This window comes from Homo sapiens, chromosome 1 (assembly GCF_000001405.40).
Source record: "Homo sapiens chromosome 1, GRCh38.p14 Primary Assembly".
Taxonomy (NCBI): Eukaryota; Metazoa; Chordata; class Mammalia; order Primates; family Hominidae; genus Homo; species Homo sapiens.
In genome coordinates, this window is record NC_000001.11 from 150,750,935 (window position 1) to 150,771,396 (window position 20,462).

At 39.6% G+C, this 20,462-nt stretch overlaps 1 protein-coding gene across 2 annotated transcripts in view, besides 12 other annotated features; it reads right to left on the bottom strand.

Annotated features, from left to right (window-relative positions):
- The window catches only part of CTSS (cathepsin S), a 35,591-nt gene extending 20,747 nt beyond the window's left edge, over positions 1–14,844 (bottom strand). Inside the window, exons 1-5 of one of the 2 annotated variants that reach the window (NM_004079.5) lie at positions 14,764–14,844; positions 13,704–13,830; positions 6,924–7,046; positions 4,067–4,216; positions 847–1,074 (exon numbers count right to left, since the gene is read on the bottom strand). In NM_004079.5, coding sequence (NP_004070.3) covers positions 847–1,074; positions 4,067–4,216; positions 6,924–7,046; positions 13,704–13,829 — 627 coding nt within the window. In that variant the 5' untranslated portion in view covers position 13,830; positions 14,764–14,844. The remainder of the gene's footprint in view (positions 1–846; positions 1,075–4,066; positions 4,217–6,923; positions 7,047–13,703; positions 13,831–14,763) is intronic. The other variant, NM_001199739.2, reaches the window with a different exon arrangement.
- Positions 4,057–4,201: an enhancer, noted in NCBI's record as "145 bp 1:150727539 sequence used in MPRA reporter constructs". NCBI's record gives its function as "activates a minimal TATA-containing promoter with rs2230061 allelic activity by MPRAs in C283T melanocytes {active_cell/tissue: C283T}" and the evidence as "EXISTENCE:reporter gene assay evidence [ECO:0000049][PMID:36423637]".
- Position 4,129: a transcriptional cis regulatory region, noted in NCBI's record as "rs2230061 or 1:150727539 MPRA-significant variant associated with a GWAS melanoma risk locus at 1q21.3". NCBI's record gives its function as "allelic transcriptional activity by MPRAs in C283T melanocytes {active_cell/tissue: C283T}" and the evidence as "EXISTENCE:reporter gene assay evidence [ECO:0000049][PMID:36423637]".
- Positions 5,194–5,338: an enhancer, noted in NCBI's record as "145 bp 1:150728676 sequence used in MPRA reporter constructs". NCBI's record gives its function as "activates a minimal TATA-containing promoter with rs10788794 allelic activity by MPRAs in C283T melanocytes {active_cell/tissue: C283T}" and the evidence as "EXISTENCE:reporter gene assay evidence [ECO:0000049][PMID:36423637]".
- Position 5,266: a transcriptional cis regulatory region, noted in NCBI's record as "rs10788794 or 1:150728676 MPRA-significant variant associated with a GWAS melanoma risk locus at 1q21.3". NCBI's record gives its function as "allelic transcriptional activity by MPRAs in C283T melanocytes {active_cell/tissue: C283T}" and the evidence as "EXISTENCE:reporter gene assay evidence [ECO:0000049][PMID:36423637]".
- Positions 12,934–13,023: an enhancer, noted in NCBI's record as "active region_1698". NCBI's record gives its function as "activates an Ori minimal core promoter by ATAC-STARR-seq in GM12878 lymphoblastoid cells {active_cell/tissue: GM12878}" and the evidence as "EXISTENCE:reporter gene assay evidence [ECO:0000049][PMID:35858748]".
- Positions 13,735–13,784: an enhancer, noted in NCBI's record as "active region_1699". NCBI's record gives its function as "activates an Ori minimal core promoter by ATAC-STARR-seq in GM12878 lymphoblastoid cells {active_cell/tissue: GM12878}" and the evidence as "EXISTENCE:reporter gene assay evidence [ECO:0000049][PMID:35858748]".
- Positions 14,715–14,859: an enhancer, noted in NCBI's record as "145 bp 1:150738197 sequence used in MPRA reporter constructs". NCBI's record gives its function as "activates a minimal TATA-containing promoter with rs1136774 allelic activity by MPRAs in C283T melanocytes {active_cell/tissue: C283T}" and the evidence as "EXISTENCE:reporter gene assay evidence [ECO:0000049][PMID:36423637]".
- Positions 14,715–14,862: a biological region, named in NCBI's record as "melanoma risk locus-associated MPRA allelic enhancers 1:150738197 and 1:150738200".
- Positions 14,718–14,862: an enhancer, noted in NCBI's record as "145 bp 1:150738200 sequence used in MPRA reporter constructs". NCBI's record gives its function as "activates a minimal TATA-containing promoter with rs3754212 allelic activity by MPRAs in C283T melanocytes {active_cell/tissue: C283T}" and the evidence as "EXISTENCE:reporter gene assay evidence [ECO:0000049][PMID:36423637]".
- Position 14,787: a transcriptional cis regulatory region, noted in NCBI's record as "rs1136774 or 1:150738197 MPRA-significant variant associated with a GWAS melanoma risk locus at 1q21.3". NCBI's record gives its function as "allelic transcriptional activity by MPRAs in C283T melanocytes {active_cell/tissue: C283T}" and the evidence as "EXISTENCE:reporter gene assay evidence [ECO:0000049][PMID:36423637]".
- Position 14,790: a transcriptional cis regulatory region, noted in NCBI's record as "rs3754212 or 1:150738200 MPRA-significant variant associated with a GWAS melanoma risk locus at 1q21.3". NCBI's record gives its function as "allelic transcriptional activity by MPRAs in C283T melanocytes {active_cell/tissue: C283T}" and the evidence as "EXISTENCE:reporter gene assay evidence [ECO:0000049][PMID:36423637]".
- Positions 20,055–20,174: a silencer, noted in NCBI's record as "silent region_1305". NCBI's record gives its function as "represses an Ori minimal core promoter by ATAC-STARR-seq in GM12878 lymphoblastoid cells {active_cell/tissue: GM12878}" and the evidence as "EXISTENCE:reporter gene assay evidence [ECO:0000049][PMID:35858748]".

The window sequence follows — 20,462 nt, forward strand, 5'->3', positions numbered from 1 at the left end:
CTTGGCCAACTATGTTTTTTAAGTGCTTAACAAGAAAATAACTTGAAAGAAATAAACCAAAACAATAGTGGTTAAGGTAGAAGGTTTTTGAGTGATATTTTTATATTTTTAAAATCTTCTGTAACATGGACACAATCCTTAGGTTATCGTTATATCAAAATGTATAATGAATTTCTGAGGAAGAGGAGAGTGTTATTTAGCTTCTCAGTGGGTGGAAGAATGATGTGGTTAATGATCTGAGAATAAGGTTGAGCATGGGAGGCTGCAGAAGAAAAAGTTTAAATACAGAGAAATAATTTTAAGGATAGTTTGCTTAAAATCTGTTTAATTTTGGGATGGAGTCTTGCTCCGTTGCCGAGGCTGGAGTACAGTGGCGTGATCTCGGCTCACTGCACCTCCACCTCCTGAGTTCAAGCGATTCTCCTGCTTCAGCCTCCCGAGTAGCTGGGACCACAGGCATGCACCACCATGCCTGGCTAATTTTTGTATTTTTGGTAGAGACAGGGTTTCACCACGTTGGCCAGGCTGGTCTCAAACTCCTGACCTCAGGTGATCCACCCACCTCGGCCTTCCAAAGTGCTGAGATTATAGGTATGAGCCACTACGCCCAGTCATTAAAATCTGTTTTTAAGCATGAATGCTACTTCCTTATTTGTACTACTGATATATTAAGAAGAGTACTTCATCAGAAACAGAACTCTTGAGAATTTAAGAATTCCTCTTCAGGGTTCTCTCTCACACACAATACTGCTTCTCAAGCAATTGGCATGGTGGCAAGCCCAGCACAGTCAGTCAGTGGATAACATGAGATCATGGGGCAGCACAAAAAGTTTGCTTAAGACGCACCATGGCTTTGTAGGGATAGGAAGCGTCTGAGTCGATGCCCTTGTTATCAATGATGTACTGGAAAGCCGTTGTCATGAAGCCACCATTGCAGCCTTTGTTTCCATATTTTTCAGTTGAGCAATCCACCAGGTTCTGGGCACTGAGAGACACCAGCTTTCCTGTTTTCAGCTTCAGCTGTGCTTCCAGGGCCCCCACAGCACTGAAAGCCCAGCAAGCACCACAAGAACCCTAAAACAGATACAAGGTCACAAACGCAAATCACAGAAAATCATTCGGAATGACTTCCATAACCCAAACTGGACAACGCTCAGCTACATCAGTTCTGTCCCTAGTTCCCAGAAAGAGCTCCCCCACTACAGTTTCCTTCTGTCTTTAACAATGGGAATGAAGACTAAATTTAACTCAATTGTTATCTAGGCAAGGTCCAACCTTGATAGAGATTTGCAATCAGCCAAGCTCAGAACATAATGGCCATATTCAAATATACTTAGAAACAATACTCACTGAGCATGTACCAAATTGCACCTATTTTCACCCATAAGTAAGGGAGATAGTTGCCTACAGTAATGAGATTTTGAGAGAGCTAGGATGATTTCCTTGACCTAAAATACCCTTTCTCCTGTCATATGATGCCTGAAACATAAGAAGTTTAATCCTAGGTTGGCATTTTTCAAACCTTTGTTATCTTCAGAATTTTTTTGATTAAAAAATATTTTACAAGGAGGCATAAACAAACAAAAAAAGGCAAAGCTGCTTTAGTTTTAAAAGGGGCAGAGTGTCCAGAGCCCCATCATAATTGTTCTCTTTCTCTCTCCTTCCCTCCTCCCACCTTGCTCTCCACCAAAAGGAAGCAAACTGACATTGCTTTTGATTGAAGCAAAATTGTTCATTAAAATGCAAGCACCCAGAGAAAGGAGCTCATTAACTTACTCAGAGTTAACATCTAAATATGTGGTTTATTGGGTCTTCTAAAAGCTGTTATTTTAGAGAACCTCGGGTAAGAAATCCAAAACTAATTGAAAGAAAAATATGTAGGTGGAAAAGAATAAGAGATTAGCAGTACCATTTACTTCTTTTTGTTTGTTTGTTTTGAGACAGGGTTTCCTTCTGTCACTCAGACTGAAGTGCAGTGGTGTGATCATGGCTCACTGTAGCCTCAACCTCCCAGGCTCAAGCGATCCTCCCATCTCAGCCCCTCAAGTAGCTGGGACTACAGGAGCGCACCATGCCTGGCTAATTTTTATTTTTATTTTTTGTAGAGTCAGGGCCTCACTATATTGCCTAGGTTGGTTTCTAACTCCTGGGCTCAAGCGATCCTTCTGCCTCTGCCTCCCAAAGTGCTGGAATCACAGATGTGAGCCACTGTGCCTGGCCACCATTTACTTCCTAATAAATTTTTACTTTCTTCATTGATCACAACCTGGGGTAGCTGCTCAGAATGCTTTGATTCCTCTCACTTACCCTGACCTCTATGGTGATACATGTGTTTTACCTCTAACTAATTTAGGATTTTTGCAATTTTTTTAAAACAAGCAAACTAAAGGAAAATACAACAGCATAGGAACAATAATTTTACAAGGCACATATTTCATATTCTAACGATGCAAGACTAGCCATGAATTAACTTGAGTGGCTCAATTTATAGAACACTCTATCTCTAGTTCTTTCTTCTCCTTCAACTTTGAAACTCACAAGTGAAATGGAGAAACTTCCTGATCACCAGGGCTCTCTCACACAACACTGCTTCTCAAGCAATTGGCTTATTGGAGAGTCCAGTGCAGTCAATGCATAGCGTGAGCAATAAAAGTCTGTGTTAAACACCTATTTGCTTAGTTCAGTGTTTGTCTAAGTAGGTGGCTCTATGATCACTTAGAAAAGCACTGTGGGGGCTGAACACGAGGGCTCATGCCTATAATCCCAGGACTTTGGGAGGTGGAGGTAGGAGGATCACTTGAGCTCAGGAGCTTGAGATCAGCTTGGGCAACATGGCAAAACCCATCTCTGCTAAAAATACAAAGAAAAAAAAAGTGGTGGTGTGTGCCTGTAGTCACCGTGTAGGCTGAGATGGGAGGATCACTTGAGCCCAAGAGGCAGAGGTTGCAGTGAGCCCAGATCGCACCACTGCAGTCCAGCCTGGGCAACAGAGGGAGACCCTGTCTCAAACAAAACAAAACAAAACAAAACAAAAACCACTGTGGAGAATCCAGTTGTCCCTCAGTATCCACAAGGGATTGGTTCCAGGACCTCTGAGCATACCAAAGTCAAGAATTTTCAAGTTCCTTATATAAATTACTGAGTATTCGCATATAACCTACACATCCTCCTATACACTTTTTTTTTTTTTTTTTTTTAAGACAGGGTCTCACTCTATCGCCCAGGCTGGAGTGCAGTGGCAAGATCTCAGCTCACTGCAACCTCTGCCTCCCAGGTTCAAGTGATTCTCCTGCCTCACCCTCCCGAGTAGCTGGGATTACAGGCGCCCACCACCACGCCAGGCTAATTTTTGTATTTTCAGTAGAGACGGGACTTCACCATGTTGGCCAAGCTGGTCTCGAACTCCTGACCTCAAGTGATCTGCCTCCCTTGACCTGGAAAAGTGCTGGGATTACAGGCATGAGCCACTACGCCCGGCCCTCCCTTATACTTTACCTTTTTTTTTTTTTTTGAGATGGAGTCTCGCTCTTTAGCTCAGGCTGGAGTGCCATGGTGTGATCTCAGCTCACTGCAACCTCTGCCTCCCAGGTTCAAGTGATTCTCCTGCCTCACTCTCCTGAGTAACTGGGATTATAGGCATGTGCCACCAGGCCCAGTTAATTTTTGTATTTTTAGTAGAGACGGGGTTTCATCATGTTGGCCAGGCTGATCTGGAACTCCTGGCCTCAGGTGATGCGCCTGCCTCAGCCTCCCAAAGTAATGGTATTATAGGCGTGAGTGCCTGGCCTATTTTTTATTTTCATTTTTTTCTGGATATTTTTGATCCACGGTTGGTGGAATCTGCAGATGTGGAAGCTGTGGATATGGAGGGCCAACTGTATAAATAAAATATAATATGTGATCCTTGCCCTTAAGGAACTTATAATTTAGTTGGGAAGACAAGAATAACAAAAATAACTAGAAAGTAACACGTGGGACTGTAAGATTCACTGTCAAATTCTGTAGCTAGACTAAGCATTTAAAGAGCTCTACCTAGGGTTCAGAGGCTTGGGATGGTAATACTCACTTGATATTTCACTTCAGTAACACACCCTTTCTCTCTCCAGTCCACAGAATCAGGCAATATCCGATTAGGGTTTGACTTATATGTGATATTTCTCTGCCACTGGCTGGGAACTCTCAGGGAACTCATCAAAGACATCACTTCTTCACTGGTCTACAAAGCAAATATACAGTCAGGCATTGTTTAATGACTGGAATATGTTCTGAGAAATGCATCGTTAGGTGATTTTGTCATTGTGAAAACACCATAGTGTGTACTTACACAAACCTAGAGCGTATTGGCTCCTACATACCTAGGCTGTATGGTAGGGCCCATTGCTCCTAAACTACAAACCTGCACGGCATGGTACTGTACTGAAGGTTGTAGGCAATTGTAGAACAATATGAAGTACTTGTGTATCTAAATATATCTAAACATAGAAAAGGTAGAGTGAAAATACAGTATAAAAAGTAAAAATGGGAGCTGGGCATGGTGGCTCACGCCTGCAATCCCAGCACTTTGGGAGGCCGAGCCGGGCAAATCACCTGAGGTCAGGAGTTCAAGACCAGCCTGGCCAACATGGTGAAACCCCATCTCTACTAAAAATACAAAAATTAGCTGGGCATGGTGGTGCATGCCTGTAATCCCAGCTATTTGGGAGGCTGAGGCAGGAGAATCACTTGAGCCTGGGAGGCGGAGGTTGCAGTGAGCTGAGATCGCGCCAGTGCACTCCAGCCTGGGCGACAGAGTGAGACTCCATCTCAAAGAAAAAAAAAAAAAGTAAAAATGGTACTTCTATATAGGTCATTTACTATGAAAGGCCTGGAGTTGCTCTGGGTGAGTCAGTGAGTGAGTGGAGAGTGAATGTGAAGGCCCAGGACATTACTGTAGACTTTATAAACACGGTGCACTTTGGCTACACTAAATTTGTTAAAACATTTTTCTTTCTTCAATAATAAATTAACCTTAGTTTAATGCAACTTTTTTACTTAATAAACTTTTAATTTTTTAAATGTTTTGTCTTCTATGGTAACCCCTTAAAATACAAACACATTGTACAGCTGTACGAAAATATTTTCTTCTTTATCACCTTCTTCTATAAGCTTTTTCTATTTTTAATTTTTTAAAAGTTTTTACACTTTTTTGTTAAAAACTAAAATACAAACACACACACACATTAGCCTAGGCCTATACAAGGTCAGGATCATCAGTATCACTGCATTTCGTCTCCACCTCTTGTCCCACTGGAAGGTCTTCAGGGGCAACAACACGTATGGAGCTGTCATCTCCTCTGATAACAATGTTTTCTACTGGATGCCTCCTGAAGGACCTGCCTGAGGCTGTTTTACAGTTAACTTTTTAAAAGTATAAGTAGGAGTACACTCTAAAATAACAATTAAAAGTATAGTATAGTAAATACATAAACCAGTAACATAGTCATTTATTATTATTAAGCATTTTGTACTGTGCAAAATTTTATGTGCTATACTTTCATACCACTGGCAGAGCAGTAGGTTTGTTTACAGCAGCATCACCACAGACAAGTGAGTAGTGTGTTGTGCTACATTGTTATGGTGGCTACAACATCACTAGCTAGGCAAGAGGAACTTTTCAGCTCCATCATAATCTTAAAGGACCACCATGGTATATGTGGTCCATCAGTGGCCAAAATGCATATGACACATGACTATATATCTCTTTCACTTACATCCTTCTTTCTTTTCTTTCTTTCTTTTTTTTTTTTTTTTTTCTCTTTTGAGACGGAGTTTCACTCTTTTTGCCCAGGCTGGAGTGCAATGGCATGACCTCGGCTCACTGCAATCTCTGCCTCCCGGGTTCAAGCAATTCTCTTGCCTCAGCCTCCCAAATAGCTGAGATTACAGGCATGTGCCACCACGCCCAGCTAATTTTGTATTTTTAGTAGAGACAGGATTTCTCTATGTTGGTCAGGCTAGTCTCAAACTCCCGACCTCAGGTGATCTGCCCACCTTGGCCTCCCAAAGTGCTGGGATTACAGGTGTGAGCCACTGTGCCCAGCCTATCCTACTTTCTAATATCCTAATAACTGTAACTGTGAATATATTTAAAAACTGCCATGGAATAAAAAAACTGAGAAAAAACAGTAATAGTTGTGACCAACACAGGTTCCATTAGGATCTGGTGGGGCGAATTATCTGGGTTTGTTTAGTTTCACACTTGGCACTAGCATCCCAGCTAGGCACCCTCATGGGGAAGGAGAAAAAGAGAATGGTAAAAACTAGAAGTTACAGGGAGGCAGATTTTTGTTTCAAAGCAAGGCAGAATTTTATAAAAGGGCTGTCTAAAAAGTGGACTAAACTGGTTTCCCATGTGAGAAATAATTACAAAGGAGATTCCTGCATTTAAGAAGGAATTCAGTCTACCTAGGGCGTTCCCTTCTTCACTTTGGCAACAGTGGTAAAGTTTTGCAGGACAGAACAGAATCTGAAAACCAATAGGGGATTATTTGTGATATTAAATACCCACATTCTCCCATTAAGAAAGCAGATGGGTCATACTAAATTGTCAATCTAGACTTAAATAAGTATGGCAACTTGCTATAAAAACCTGTCAATAGTCTTTAGGTAATACTTTCTAGAATTTATTAAAAAAAAAACAATGGTAGTCTCTGAGTTTAAAATTTCCTCTAAAGAAGTGATTTGTTAAAGAAAGAAAGCAGTCAAAATAGAACTAAGTAAGAAATTTCTGTACACGTTCTTACGTCCTTCAATTCTACTGTTTTCCAACTTTGTACTATACATTCCTTTGTTATTGTTGTTTACCTTCAAATTGCTTTTGGGGAGACAGAAAGGAAATGATATTTACCCAGACGTGAAAGTGGGATTTCTTGTAATGTACCTACCATGTCTCCCAGGTGGTTCATGCCCAGATCGTATGAGTGCATTCCCATTGAATGCTCCAGGTTGTGAAGCATCACAAACTTTAGATTCTTTTCCCAGATGAGACGTCGTACTGCTTCTTCATTCTAAAACATAATGAAGAAGAACATAGTCATACTGCATCCTGGACAAATAAGTGTTTGATGATGAAAATGGCAATTTTTTTTTTTTTTGAGATGGAGTCTCACTCTGTCACCCAAGCTGGAGTCCAATGGCACGATCTCAGCTTACTTCAACCTCCGATTCTCAGGTTCAAGTGATTCTCCTGCTTCAACCTTCCGAGTATCTGGGATTACAGGCATGTGCCACCACGCCTAGCTAATTTTTGTATTTTTAGTAGAGACGGGGTTTCGTCATGTTGGCCAGGCTGGTCTCAAACTGTTGACCTCAGGGGATCTGCCTGCCTCAGCCTCCCAAAGTACTGGGATTACAGGTGTGAGCCACTGCACCCGCCCAAAAATAGCATTTTTGAAGCATTCTACCAAATGTGGATCTGCCCGAGAGCATGCAAATACATAAATATATCCAATATAACTGCTAACTTCACATATTAATCTTAATTCTTGCTCTTAACTGCTTTGATGGTTTAATATTATTTTATGATAAACATGAATTTCCTTCTCTTTTTAACATTTATTATTATTATTATTATTATTTTGACAGAGTCTTGCTCTGTCACTCGGCTGGATGGAGTGCAGTGAAGTGGCCTGATTACTGCTCACCATAGCCTTGACCTCCTGGGACCCAGCAATCTTCACACCTCAGCCTCCTGCATAGCTGGGATGACTGGTGTGTGCCACTGCAGCCAGTTTTTCTGTTTGTTTGTTTGTTTGTTTTGGTAGAGACTGGGTCTCCCTATGTTGCAGGCTCATATTGAATTCCTGGGCTCAAGCAATCCTCCCCTATCAGCCTCCCAAAGTCCTGCGATTATTGGTGTAAGCCACCGCGCCCAGCATTTTTTTTTTTTTTTTTTAGACAGGGTCTTGCTCTTTTGCCCAGGCTGGAGTGCAGTGGTATGATCATAGCTCACTACAGCCTCAAACTCTTGGGCTCAAACTATCCTCCCATCTCAGCTGCCCGAGTAGCTAGGACTGCAAGCCTGCACCACCACAACCAGCTTATTTTTATTTTTATTTTATTATTATTTTTTTTTTTTGTAGAGACAGGGTCTCCCTATGTTGCCTAGGCTGGTCTCAAATTCCTGGCCTTAAAGGATCCTTCCCCCTTGGCCTCCCAAAGTGCTGGGATTACAGGCATGAACCATACACCCAGCCATGATTTGCTCTTTCTTTTTGATGTTTTACAACTTCGTTACATGTATCTGGGTGTAGGTTTCTTTATTTACCTTCGGCTGTGTGCTTTTGATTGGAGGACTCAGGACCTTTTCTCATATCTGGAAAATTCTCAATCAGTGTCTCCACATATATTGCTTCTCCACCATTCCACCTAATTCTCTTCTTCAGAAACTCCTATCCGAAGTATTTTGGAGCCTCAAACTCTCTTTCATCTCTCTTACTTGCGTTTTCATATATTTTTCTTTTTATTTCTAGGTGCTGCATTCTGGGTGAATTCCTCAGTACTATCTTTCAGATTACTGATTCTATCCAGCTCTTTCCAGTCTGGAAATCCTTTTGATTTTTATCGCAATGACAATATTTTTTATTTTCAAGATTTCTAATTTATTTCTTGTCCATTAGTGTGCATATTATTCCTTTATATATAGTCTTTTGAAAATTCATTTTTGATTCTATTATTTTAATTTTATTCAGAGTGAATTTACATGCTGACCGACGATTTTCTTGTCCTTCAGGAGATTCATTTACATAGAATACAATGATGTAGAAGGCAAGGTGGATGGTGCCTCCTACAGTAGCTGAAGCCAGAGTTTCCAATAAGCTGGAACCCCAGGGAGCAGTCAGCAACAACTGTGTTCTGCCTCATTTCATTGAGCGGGTGAGCCCAGTCCCAGAGGCACTGGGTAGCAAGTCTGGATGCAGGTTTCTTTCCCTTGGAGCAAGGTTTTACTGTTACCCCAGTAATGGACATAATGGGCATGCATGATGGGCTTACTTCCAAACCACAAGATGAGAAGCAATGGTATAAAGGCAAACAAATCTAACTAAGTGCAAGAAAGGAAAAAAAAAAAAAGAAGTGCACTTTGAGATCAATTATAAAGGTAGGATACGAATCAAAAGTCAGGTTCATTCATCCTGAGGGACTGGAATTATTAAACAGAGGGATAGCATTCATTTAACCAGATAGTGGTGCTAATTGCACATCTAAGTCCAGTCAATCTTGAAATGAGGAACCTGTTCATAAAGGGTGTGGGTGAGGGTGAAATTCATCACCACCAACGAAACCGTATGATCATTTAAATAGATGCAGGAAAAGCATTTGACAGAATTCAACATCCTTTCATAACAAACATTCTCAACAAATTACATATAGAAGGAATGTTCCTCAACACAAATAGGCCATATATGGCAAGACTACAGCTAACACCATACTCAATTGGGTGAAAATTTAAAGGCCATTCTGCTAAGATCAGAAAAAGACAAGGGTACCCACTCTCACCATTTCTAGTCAATATAGTGCTGAAAATCCTAGCCAGAGCAATTAGGCAAGAAAAATAAATACAAGATCTCCAAATAAGAGAAGGAAGAAGTGAAATTGCGTTTGTTTGTTGATAACATGATCATATAGAAAGTCTTGGCCAGGTGTGGTGGCTCATGCCTGTACTTTGGGAGGTTGAGGTGGGAGGATTGTGTGAATCTAGGAGTTCAACACCAGCCTGGACAACATGGCAAGACCCCTTCTCTACAAAAAACAAAAATAGAAATTAGCCAGGTGTGGTGGCATGTGCCTACAGTCCCAGTTACTTGGAAGGCTGAGGCAAGAGAATCACTTGAGCTGGAGTTTGAGGCTGCAGTAAGCTATGATCACACCACTTCACTCCAACCTGGGTGACAGAGCAAGATCTCATCTCAAAAAAAAAAAAAAAGAAGGTTGGGCAAGGCGGCTTATGCTTGTAATCCCAGCACTCTGGGAGGCCAAGATGGGTTGATCATGAGGTCAGAAGTTCGAGACCAGCCTGACCAACATGGTGAAACCCCATCTCTACTAAAAACACAAAAATTAGCTAGGTGTGGTGGCGTGTGCCGGTAATCCCAGCTACTCAGGAGGCTGAGGCAGGAGAATTGCTTGAACCTGGGAGGCGGAGGTTGCAGTGAGCCGAGATTGCGCCACTGCACTCCAGCCTGGGCGACAGAGCATGAATCCGCCTCAAAAAAAAAAAAAAAAAAAGAGAGAAGAAAGACTCCATCAAAAAACTATTAGAACTGATACATGAATTCAGTAAAGTTGTAAGACACAAAGTCAACATACAAAAGTCAGTAGTATTTTTATACACTAACAACTATTTGAAAAAGAAATTAGGAAAACAATTCTATTTACAACAGCATTTAAAACATATTTAGGAGTTAATTTAACCAAGGAGTTGAAAAGTTATATGCTGAAAACTGTAAAACATTGATAAAAGAAACTGAAGACAAAATAGGCCGGGCGTGGTGGCTCACACCTGTAATCCCAGCACTATGGGAGGCCGAAGCAGGCAGATCACCTGAGGTCGGGAGTTTGAGACCAGCCTGACCAACATGGAAAAACCCCGACTCTACTAAAAATACAAAATTACCCGGGCGTGGTGGCACATGCCTGTAATCCCAGCTACTCAGGAGGCTGAGGCAGGAGAATTGCTTGAACCCCAGAAGCAGAGGTTGTGGTGAGCAGAGGTCACGCCACTGCACCCCAGCCTGGGCAACAAGAGCAAAATTCCATCTCAAAAAAACAAGAAAAAAAGAAAAAAGAAAGAAAGAAATTTAAGATAAAATAAATAAATGGGAAGATATTCCATGCTTATGGATTGGAAGAATTAATATTGCTAAAATGTTCATACTATCCAAAGCAAACTAGAAATTCAGTGCAATTTCTATCAAAATTCTAATGTTATTCTTCACAGAAATAGAAAAAACAATCCTCAAATTCATGCGGAACTACAAAAGTCCTTAAATAGTCAAAGTAATCTTTAGCAAGAGGAACAAAGCTGGAGGCATTACAAAATGCCTGGTTTCAAAATATATTACAAAACTATAGTAATTTAAACAGCATAGTACTGGCATAGAAACAGACACATTTACCAATGGAATAGGATATAGAGCCCAGAAATAACCTGCAACTTTATGGTCAATCAATTTTCAGCAAAGGTGCCAAGAACACACAATGGGGAAAGGATAGTCTGTTTAATAAATAGTATTGGGAAAACTGGCTATCCAAATGCAGAAAAATGAAATTGAACCCTTATGTCACCCCATATACAATAATCAACTCAAAATGAATTAAAGCACAAACATAAGGCCTGAAACTATATACAACCACTATAAGAAAATATAGGGGAAAACTCCACAACATTGGTCCGGGCAACGGTTTTTTGAATATGACCCCTAAAGAACAGGCAACAATAGCAAAAATAGACGAACGGGACTCCATCAAACTAAAAAGCTTTCGTACAATAAAGGAAACAATTAACAGAGTGAAAAGATAACTCATAGATTGGGAGAAAATATTTGCAAATCATACATTTGATAAGGGGCTAATATCCCAAATATAGAAGGAACTCAAAGTAACTATCAAGAAAACAACCCTGTTTAAAAATGGGCAGAAGACCTGAATAGACATTTCTCAAAACAAGACACATACAAATGGCCAACAGATATATGAAAAAATGCTTAACATCACCAGTCATCAGGGAAATGTAAAGTAAAACCACAATGAGATATCACCTCACATCTGTTAGAATGGCTATTATCAAAACGATGAAAGATAAGTGTTGGTGAGGATGTGGAGAAAAGGGAACCCTCATACACTTTTAGTAGGAATGTAAATTAGTACAGCCATTTGGGAAAACAGTATGGAGGTTCCTCAAAAAACTAAAAATATAATTACCATATCATCCAGCAATCTCACTTCTGGGTATATGTCCCAAGGAAGCGCAATCAGTATGTCAATGAGATAGCTGCACTTCCATGTTCATTGTAGCATTATTCACAATAGCCAAGATACGGAATCAACCTTATAAAGTGTCCATTAAAAGACGAATGGATAAAAAAGTGTGGTACATATTGTATTCCATACATAATGGAATACTATTTAGCCTTAAAAAAAAAAAAAGGAAATTCTGTCATTTTCAACAACATGGATGGGTCTAGAGAACGTTATGCTAAGTGAAATAAGCCAGGCACAGAAAGACAAGTACTGCATAATCTCATTTACATGTGGAATCTAAAACAGTTGAACTCATAAAAGTAGAGAGTAGAATGGTGGTTAGCAGAGGCTGGGCGGAGGGTAGACAGGGAAAGGGGAGATGTTAGGCAAAGAGTACAGAGTTTCATTTGACAAGAAGACTACATTCTAGCAATCTATTGCATAGCATGGTGACTACAGATAATAATAATAATGTATTTTATATGTCAAAATTACTGAAAGGGTAGATTTTAAATGTTCTTATCACAATGAAAGGATAAGTATGTGAGGTGCTGAATAGGTTAATTAGCCTAATTTAATCATTCTGCAATGTATATTTGTATCATAACATCACATTGTACTCCATAAATAGACACAATTATTATTTAATTATAAATAAATAAAAATAAAACTTAGAGTGTATGACCTAAGAGTGTCATTTTTATACAAAATAATATGTCAAATAAATAAATATATGATGCTAGCTTACAAACAGAAATATTACATAGTTACAGGACTTAGTTATTTAAAGCAGTAGGGTTAAGGTCTTAACATCAGCAAGTGTGCTTTGAAATAAAAACAAAAGTACAAAATGGGAAGTGATAGTCAAGAAACAATATCTGGCCACACTATGTGGGTATTAACGCCTTTTCGCTCCTCAGCCATCCCAAATGTGGCCCTTCCTCAGGAGCTTGTGCTGATTTGCCCTTGGCCTGAGACCTTCACTCTATTATGTATTTTGCTTGCTCCCTGGCTTCCATCAATTCTCTGCTCAAATGGCACCCTTATCCGTGAGGCCTTCCCTAACCCTCCTGTCATATAGATAGACTTCTTACCACCACCACCACCCAGGGCCCTTCCTACTCTCCATGCCTTCTGTTATTTTTATCTACAACACTTATCACCATCTAGCATACTACATATCTGCTTGTTTATTTTCTTATTTCCTGTCTCTCTCACTATAATATAAGCTCCATAACAGGAATTTTGTTTTGATTCCTGCTGTATGGTACCAAGAACAGTATCTGGCAAGAAACAAGTACATAATATTTATTTATTTATTTTTGAGATGGAGTCTCACTCTGTCACCCAGGCTGGAATGCAATGGCACAATCTTGGCTCACTGCAACCTCCGCCTTCCCGGCTCAAGTGATTCTCTTGCCTCAGCCTCCCGAGTAGCTGGGATTACAGGCGCCCACCACCACATCCAGCTAATTTTTGTATTTTTAGTAGAGATGGGGTTTCGCCATGTTGGCTAGGCTGGTCTCGAACTCCTGACCTCAGGTGATCCGCTCACCTTGGCCTTCCAAAGGGCTAGGATTACAGGCGCGAGCCACCACACCCAGCTTAAATATTTACTGAAAACACTGCCTGTAAGAACACAATTTTAAGAGGTAGAAAACAGTACTCCTTTAAAAGCATATCGCTCGAGTGGCAATCCAATCTACCTTTTCCTTGTATTGTTTGCCATAGGTTTTCTTCCAGAGATGCCAGTGGTGATCCAGGGTAGGATCTTTATGCAACTGTGCCACTGCAGAGGAGCACACCAAGAGCACACAAACCAGCCGTTTCATTCTGTGTAAGGAAAGGTAACATAGGAAGTGTTGCTATTAGCTGCATATGTTGTGACCACATGTTTTCATAAGAGAAAATAACAATGCAAAGTCTATCAAAGGGACAGACTATTATAAACAGAATTATACAGGAAAATTCCTGGGATATATAGTCACAGGGAACAGCTGCAGATTTATGTCAGAAATACTACTTCCAATGCTTAGTAGCACTTTAAAAAGTGATTTCCAGGAATTTCCCAATATCTGGTAAACCAAACACATCTAGAGGGTTAGAAAACAGGGACTTTCCAGGATTTGCCAACAAATCTAATCAAAGGAAATCTCTTTCTCTCTCTCTCAAAAAAAAAAAAAAATCATCCTTAAGAGAGACAAACCTCTGAAAAATCAGTTTATCTCCTGAATTTTTGAATACATGGGCTCTTCTTAACTGACCTGTTTAAATATCCACAGTCTTTACAGATAGTTAAAAGACAATTCTCATCTATTGCTTTCACATCTTTAGGTAGGTAATTTTCCTTTTTACGTTTTTTTTTTTTTAATGATCAGACATCTGTTTCAAATGAGGCAATTAACTACTCTTTAAAATGCCACTTCTGTATTTAATTCAAGAGACATCAACAGAAATTCAGCGACTAGCTCCCTCAAACTGGATTCTACTTTCTTTTCCATTTCTTTTTAATTGAAAACATCTGGAATTTTAAACATGTAAGCCTTTAAATTATATTCCAAAGAAAGCCATGTTTCAGTCTCAACTTAGATGCTTAGATGCTCAAGCAGACATTAACTTTTTAAAAATAGAGAAGAGGCAAATTGAACGACACGATTTTTTAGTTTACTTCCTGAAACCAAAGATTTAAAACCTAGCAGGCAGAACAAGTTACAAACACAGAGTGTTTGAAGACCAAATGGGAGAAAAAGAACAAAGAGTACATACGTGATAGAACCAGCAGTTGCTCCCACAGTAAGAGTCCTTGAATTAGTGGGCTCTCTTCTAAGATTTCAAAGCAACAAGGAGATTTCAGTTCAATTGACTTGAAAAGAAATTGGAACTTGTCACATGAGGTACTCAAAATGAGGAAGTGAACTTTCATTTCAGTTTCATTTAAAATCTAGCTAGTACAGTCACCTCTAGTCATTTCCCTATGGTCTTGGGGACAAAGTGGATACAGTAAGCCATCAAGAAGAGCCCTTGTCTGAGCCCAGTGGCTCATGCCTATAATCCCAGCACTTTGGGAGGCTGAGGCGGGAGGATCACTTGAGGCCAGGAGTTCAAGACCAGCCTAGGCAATATAGTGAGACCCTGTCTCTGCAAAAAAATTTTTTTTAATTAGCTGGGCATGGTGGTGCATGCTTGTAGTCCCAGCTGAGGGGGAGGGTGAGGTGGGAGAATTGCTTGAGTCTAGGAGGACAAGGCTGCAGTGAGCCATGATTATGCCACTGTGTTTCAGCCTGGATGACATATCAAGACCCTATCTCAAAAAAAAAATTAAATTGAATTTTAAAAACACCAACTTTTACATGGAAAACATTTAGTTATAAAGAGATTTAGATAAAGCTCCCCAAATCCCAGCTCCTTGTATGATTTCCTAGGAAAACCTGTCTTACTGCTTTTAACACAACTCATTCATGATCTGATATTGTCTGGTTCTCACTCAGCCATTCCTTCGTTCATCAAACTCAAAATGTCTTTATTAATATATACTATATGTATAGTTTAGTAATATGCGTGTGTGTGTGTGTGTGTGTGTGTATGTGTTAGTATATTCATGGAAAAAAGGATACACTCAAATATATCCAATTGAGAATGATTACCTGGGTGGGGTGGGAGCAAGACGAACTATCATCTTTTAAATTTGCATTTTCCTAATTACTAATGAGGTTGAGGATCTTTTCACACATTTATTGACCGTTTGAATTTTCTGTGAATTTCCTGTTCATCTTTTTTGCTCATTTTTCTATTGTATTGTTGCATTTTCTTAGTGATTTGTGGGAGGTGTGTGTGTGTGTGTGTGTTGTGTGTTTTCCGAGACGGAGTCGTGCTTTGTCTCCCATGCTGGAGTGCATTGGTGCGATCTTGGCTCACTGCAACATCCACCTCCCAGGTTCAAGCGATTCTCTGCCTCAGACTCCCAAGTAGCTGGGATTACAGGCACCTGCCAGCATGTCCAGCTAATTTTTGTATTTTTAGTAGAGACAGGGTTTCACCATCTTGGCCAGGCTGGTCTTGAACTCTTCACCTCGTGATCCACCCGCCTCAGCCTCCCAAAGTGCTGGGATTACAGGTGTGAGCCACCGTGCCCGGCCAAGGTGTATGTGTTTTAAAAATATATTCTGGCTTCTAATCTTTGACAGTTATATACCCTTAAAAACATCCTCCCTTAGTCTTCCACTTGTCTTTTATTTTATTTTTTCTTCCTTTGCATAAGCCTATGAAATTCCACTTGTCCTTTAGTCTTGTTTATAGTGAGTTTTTCTATATGAAATTTTTTTATGTTGAGGTAGAACATTTTATTCAGCTTTTCCGTATAATCAATCTATACTGTTTTTGTATAAGAAAATTTTCCTCATCCAAATGTAATAAAGATACACTCATCTTATTTTTATACTTTCAGAGAGTGTTTTATTTATCTTTTCTATGGCTACTGCTTTTAGGTGTTTAATTCACCTGGAATTTAGTTTTGTGTATGGTATGACGTAGGGAGCTTATTTTCTTTGTTTTCCAATTTTGATTCTACCTCTATTGTACACCAAATTCTCATACATAGATAGGTCAGTTTCTGAGCTCATGAAGCTGTTCTTTTTATCTTTTGCTACTTCAGTATCACACAGTTTTAATTAAAACAGCTTTGTAATATGTCTCCACGTATGGTAAGGCAAGTCATCTAGGCCACCCTATCTTTGTTCTTCTTTTTAAACATTGTCTTTGTATTTTGTACTTGTTAACTCTTCTTTATATGAATTTTTTGAATCAGTTTATCAAGTTCCCTGAAAAACTCTGTTGGAGTTTTTTGCTTTTTTCTTTTGGAGACAGGGTTTCATTCTGTCACCCAGGCTGGAGTGCAGTGATGCAATCATGGCTCACTGCAGCCTTGACCTCCTGGGCTCAAGTGATCCTCCCGCCTCAGCCTCTGGAGTGGCTGGGACTACAGGTGCACACCACCATGCCTGGCTGATTTTGTTTTTTGTTTTTTGTAGATAAGGGGTTTCACCATGTTGCCCAGGCTGGCCTCAAACTCCTGGGCTCAAGCAATCTGCCCACCTTGGCCTCCTGAAGTGCTGGGATTACAGGCATGAGCCCCCACATCTGGCTATTAGAGTTTTTATTTGAATATATGCATAAATTTAGGGAGAAGTAACATCATTATAATGTTGATTCATCTCAGCTGTAGTAGACATGTTTGTGTTTGTAGCCATACAGTTTTTTTTAAAAAGATACTGCTTATGGAAAATTTAAAACACATGTAAAAGTAAAAATAGTAGTAAAATGAGCTGCCGTGAAACCATTGTCTTGTTTCAACAATGATCAGTACATGGCCAATCTTATTTTATTTATATTCCCACTCTCACTACCTGAATTATATTAAATAAATTCTAGACATTCTGTCATTTCATACGTAAATGTCCCTGTGTGTGTCTTTAAAAGACAGAGACTATTAAACAAATATAATACCACAATACCATCATCACATCTAAAATAAATGAACAATAATTTTCTTTTTTTTTTTTTTCTGAGACAGAGTCTCACTCACTTGCCCAGGCTGGAGTGCAGTGGTGTGATCCCAGCTCACTGCAATCTCTGCCTGCCGAGTTCAAGCGATTCTCCTGCCTCAGCCTCCCAAGTGGCTGGGATTACAGGCATGTGCCATCACACCCAGCTAATTTTTGTATTTTTAGTAGAGATGGGGTTTCACCACATTGGCCAGGCTTGTCTCGAACTCCTGACCATAGGTAATCTGCCCACCTCAGCCTCCCTAAGTACTGGGTTTACAGGTGTGAGCCACTTTATTGTCATAAGAAATTAAGACAATAATTTCTTAATGTCATCAGACATCCTATCAATGTTCACATTTTCTGGACTGTCTTATACATTTTTTAATAGTTTGTTTGAATTGAGATTTAAATAAGCTCCATATATTGTGAAACCATTGAGTTATGTTTATATCATTATGAATTCATGGATTTAAACATATTTGATGTGTTTCAATCCATTCCAGTTTTATCCTTATTGATACTCATATTGTCTCATTTTTGGTCTGTAGGAATTTATTCAAACTGGCTCTTTGGTGCAGACAGAGTTTGTATATTTGGCATAATATTAGTACTCTTTAAAAGCTTCCTTTCTTTCTAATATGACAGGCTATTGCAGGTTTGTCTTGAACAATTCCTGCCCCAGACCTGGAATCAGCCATTTCTCCAAGGAGCTCTGGTTCCTTTTAGTGGAAACAATGTTTAAATACCATAATCTAGGAACTAGCAGTGTTTGGGATAGCAGATTGACCATTGTTGCTAAGCCTTTTCAGTAGCTAGAGCTAAGAAATATCTTTTTTAAAAAAATTAAATAAATCACAAGCTGACACTGATACTTCAAATTCAAATTCAAGACTATAGGGTTTACTCACCCCATCAATCTTATATCTGCACTTCTTTTCAAACATGCTTAAAAAATCTGGGTTCTCTAAAATATCAACTCAAGTACTTGTTTAATTTATCCTGTAAAATTGCAGAATAACAACAACAAGCCTACGCCAATAAGATTGTTAATGAAAACAAATTAGAGGTTTTAAAGTGGAGGGGGACAGGTTTTTCTCCATTAAGCCAAATGTCGCTAACGATGTAAGTCAATTACTGTGTTTTGAAGTCACCTGGAATAGTTCCCTGTATGGTTATGCTCCACCTCCATACACAGGTTTATTTGTTTCATTTCACTTCTTCCTTTTAGGGCTTGCTTTTTACACTTATGTAATTTCATTTTATAATTATGTAAAACATTTATGTGGATCCAAAGTGAAATCATCACAATGAGGTATATTCAAAGAACTCTAGCCTCTACTTTTGTCTGTTTTACACGATTTCCTTTTTTCCTTAATTGGTAATCATTTAAAAAATTTATGGTTTATCTTCCTATTTTTAGAAATATGCAAATATGCCTATATATTAATATTCTTTCATCTTAAGTGAACACTAACATATTACACATATTTTTCTCTATCTTGTTTTTTTCACTTAGCATTTTTTTTGTTTTAGTCAATCACTTAACATTTTATTAAGAAAAATTATTCAGGCGAAAGACATTAGCAGGTGTCCTTTCAGTGATGTGCTGGGTATTATTTAGTGGACCTTTACAGGAATTGTTTGATTCTTTTTAGAGTTAAGTTGTAAAAAACTGATAACTATGCAAATGATCCCTATACATGGCAATGCAAATAAATTTTGTATTGTAGATTTCACTGAATAGAGAAATAGAGAATGTAGATCTCTGTCAGTCGAATTCTTTTTTTTTTTTTTTTGAGACACGGCCTTACTTCATCGCCCACGCTGGAGTGCAGTGGTGCGATCTCAGCTCACTCTAACCTCCGCCTCCCGGATTTAAGCGATTCTCCTGCCTCAGCCTCCCCAGTAGCTGAGATTACAAATGCACACCACCACACCCAGCTAATTTTTGCATTTTTAGTAGATACAGGGTTTCACCGTGTTGGCCAGGCCGGTCTCGAACTCCTGACCTCAGGTGATCCACCCACCTCGGCTTCCCAGAGTGCTGGGATTACAGGCATGAGCCACCATGCCCGGCCTCAAATTCTTATTTGAACTGACTTTAATCTTACTGATCCCTTATTAATTAATGAGTTAAACTTCGATGCGTTCGTTGTATATTTGCTCTCAGCTTTTTAGAAACTATACTTTAGCAATTAAATTCTGATAACTCCACAGTAGTATATACAGTGTTCATTTATTTTTATGGCCACCTAGCATCTTTTGAACAATATTCCCATGTTTGGAGAATTTCCCACGTTATAAATTTTGCTTCTCCAAGTTGAAGCCAAAGCTCCATTTTCAAGGATCCAGTGCAGTTAAGGCACAGACATGAGACCTAGCCTTTGCCAGTCAGGCACACCTGTATAGAACATCATTTTGCAAGTGGGTAAGTGAGGAACCAGAAGTATGTAAAATCCTCCTTTTGGTGAGAATGGCAGTAGAGATGTCTCCCAGCAGCAGCAGCACCAGCAGGAGCAGGAGCAGCAGCAGATATTCTAATATCTGGTCCCCAGTGTCACCTGTTCAAACTGTAGTGTTTATGTCAAATATTGTGTCTGCTCAGTGGCATCATAGGTTGAGCAGTCCTCTCTGTGGTTTTGGTGATGTTTGTGGTTACACAATAAACAAACCTCACCGACTTTCTGGCCTTTCATAGGTTCTTTGAGTTTCCGGCACTTTTTTTTTTTTTTTTTGAGATGGAGTTTCACTCTTGTTGTCCAGGATGGAGTGCAATGGCATGATCTCGGCTCACTGCAACCTCCGCCTCCCGGGTTCAAGCGATTCTCCTGCCTCAGCCTCCCAAGTAGCTGGGATTACAGGCATGCGCCACCACGCCAGGCTAATTTTGTATTTTTAGTAGAGACAGGGTTTCGCCACGTT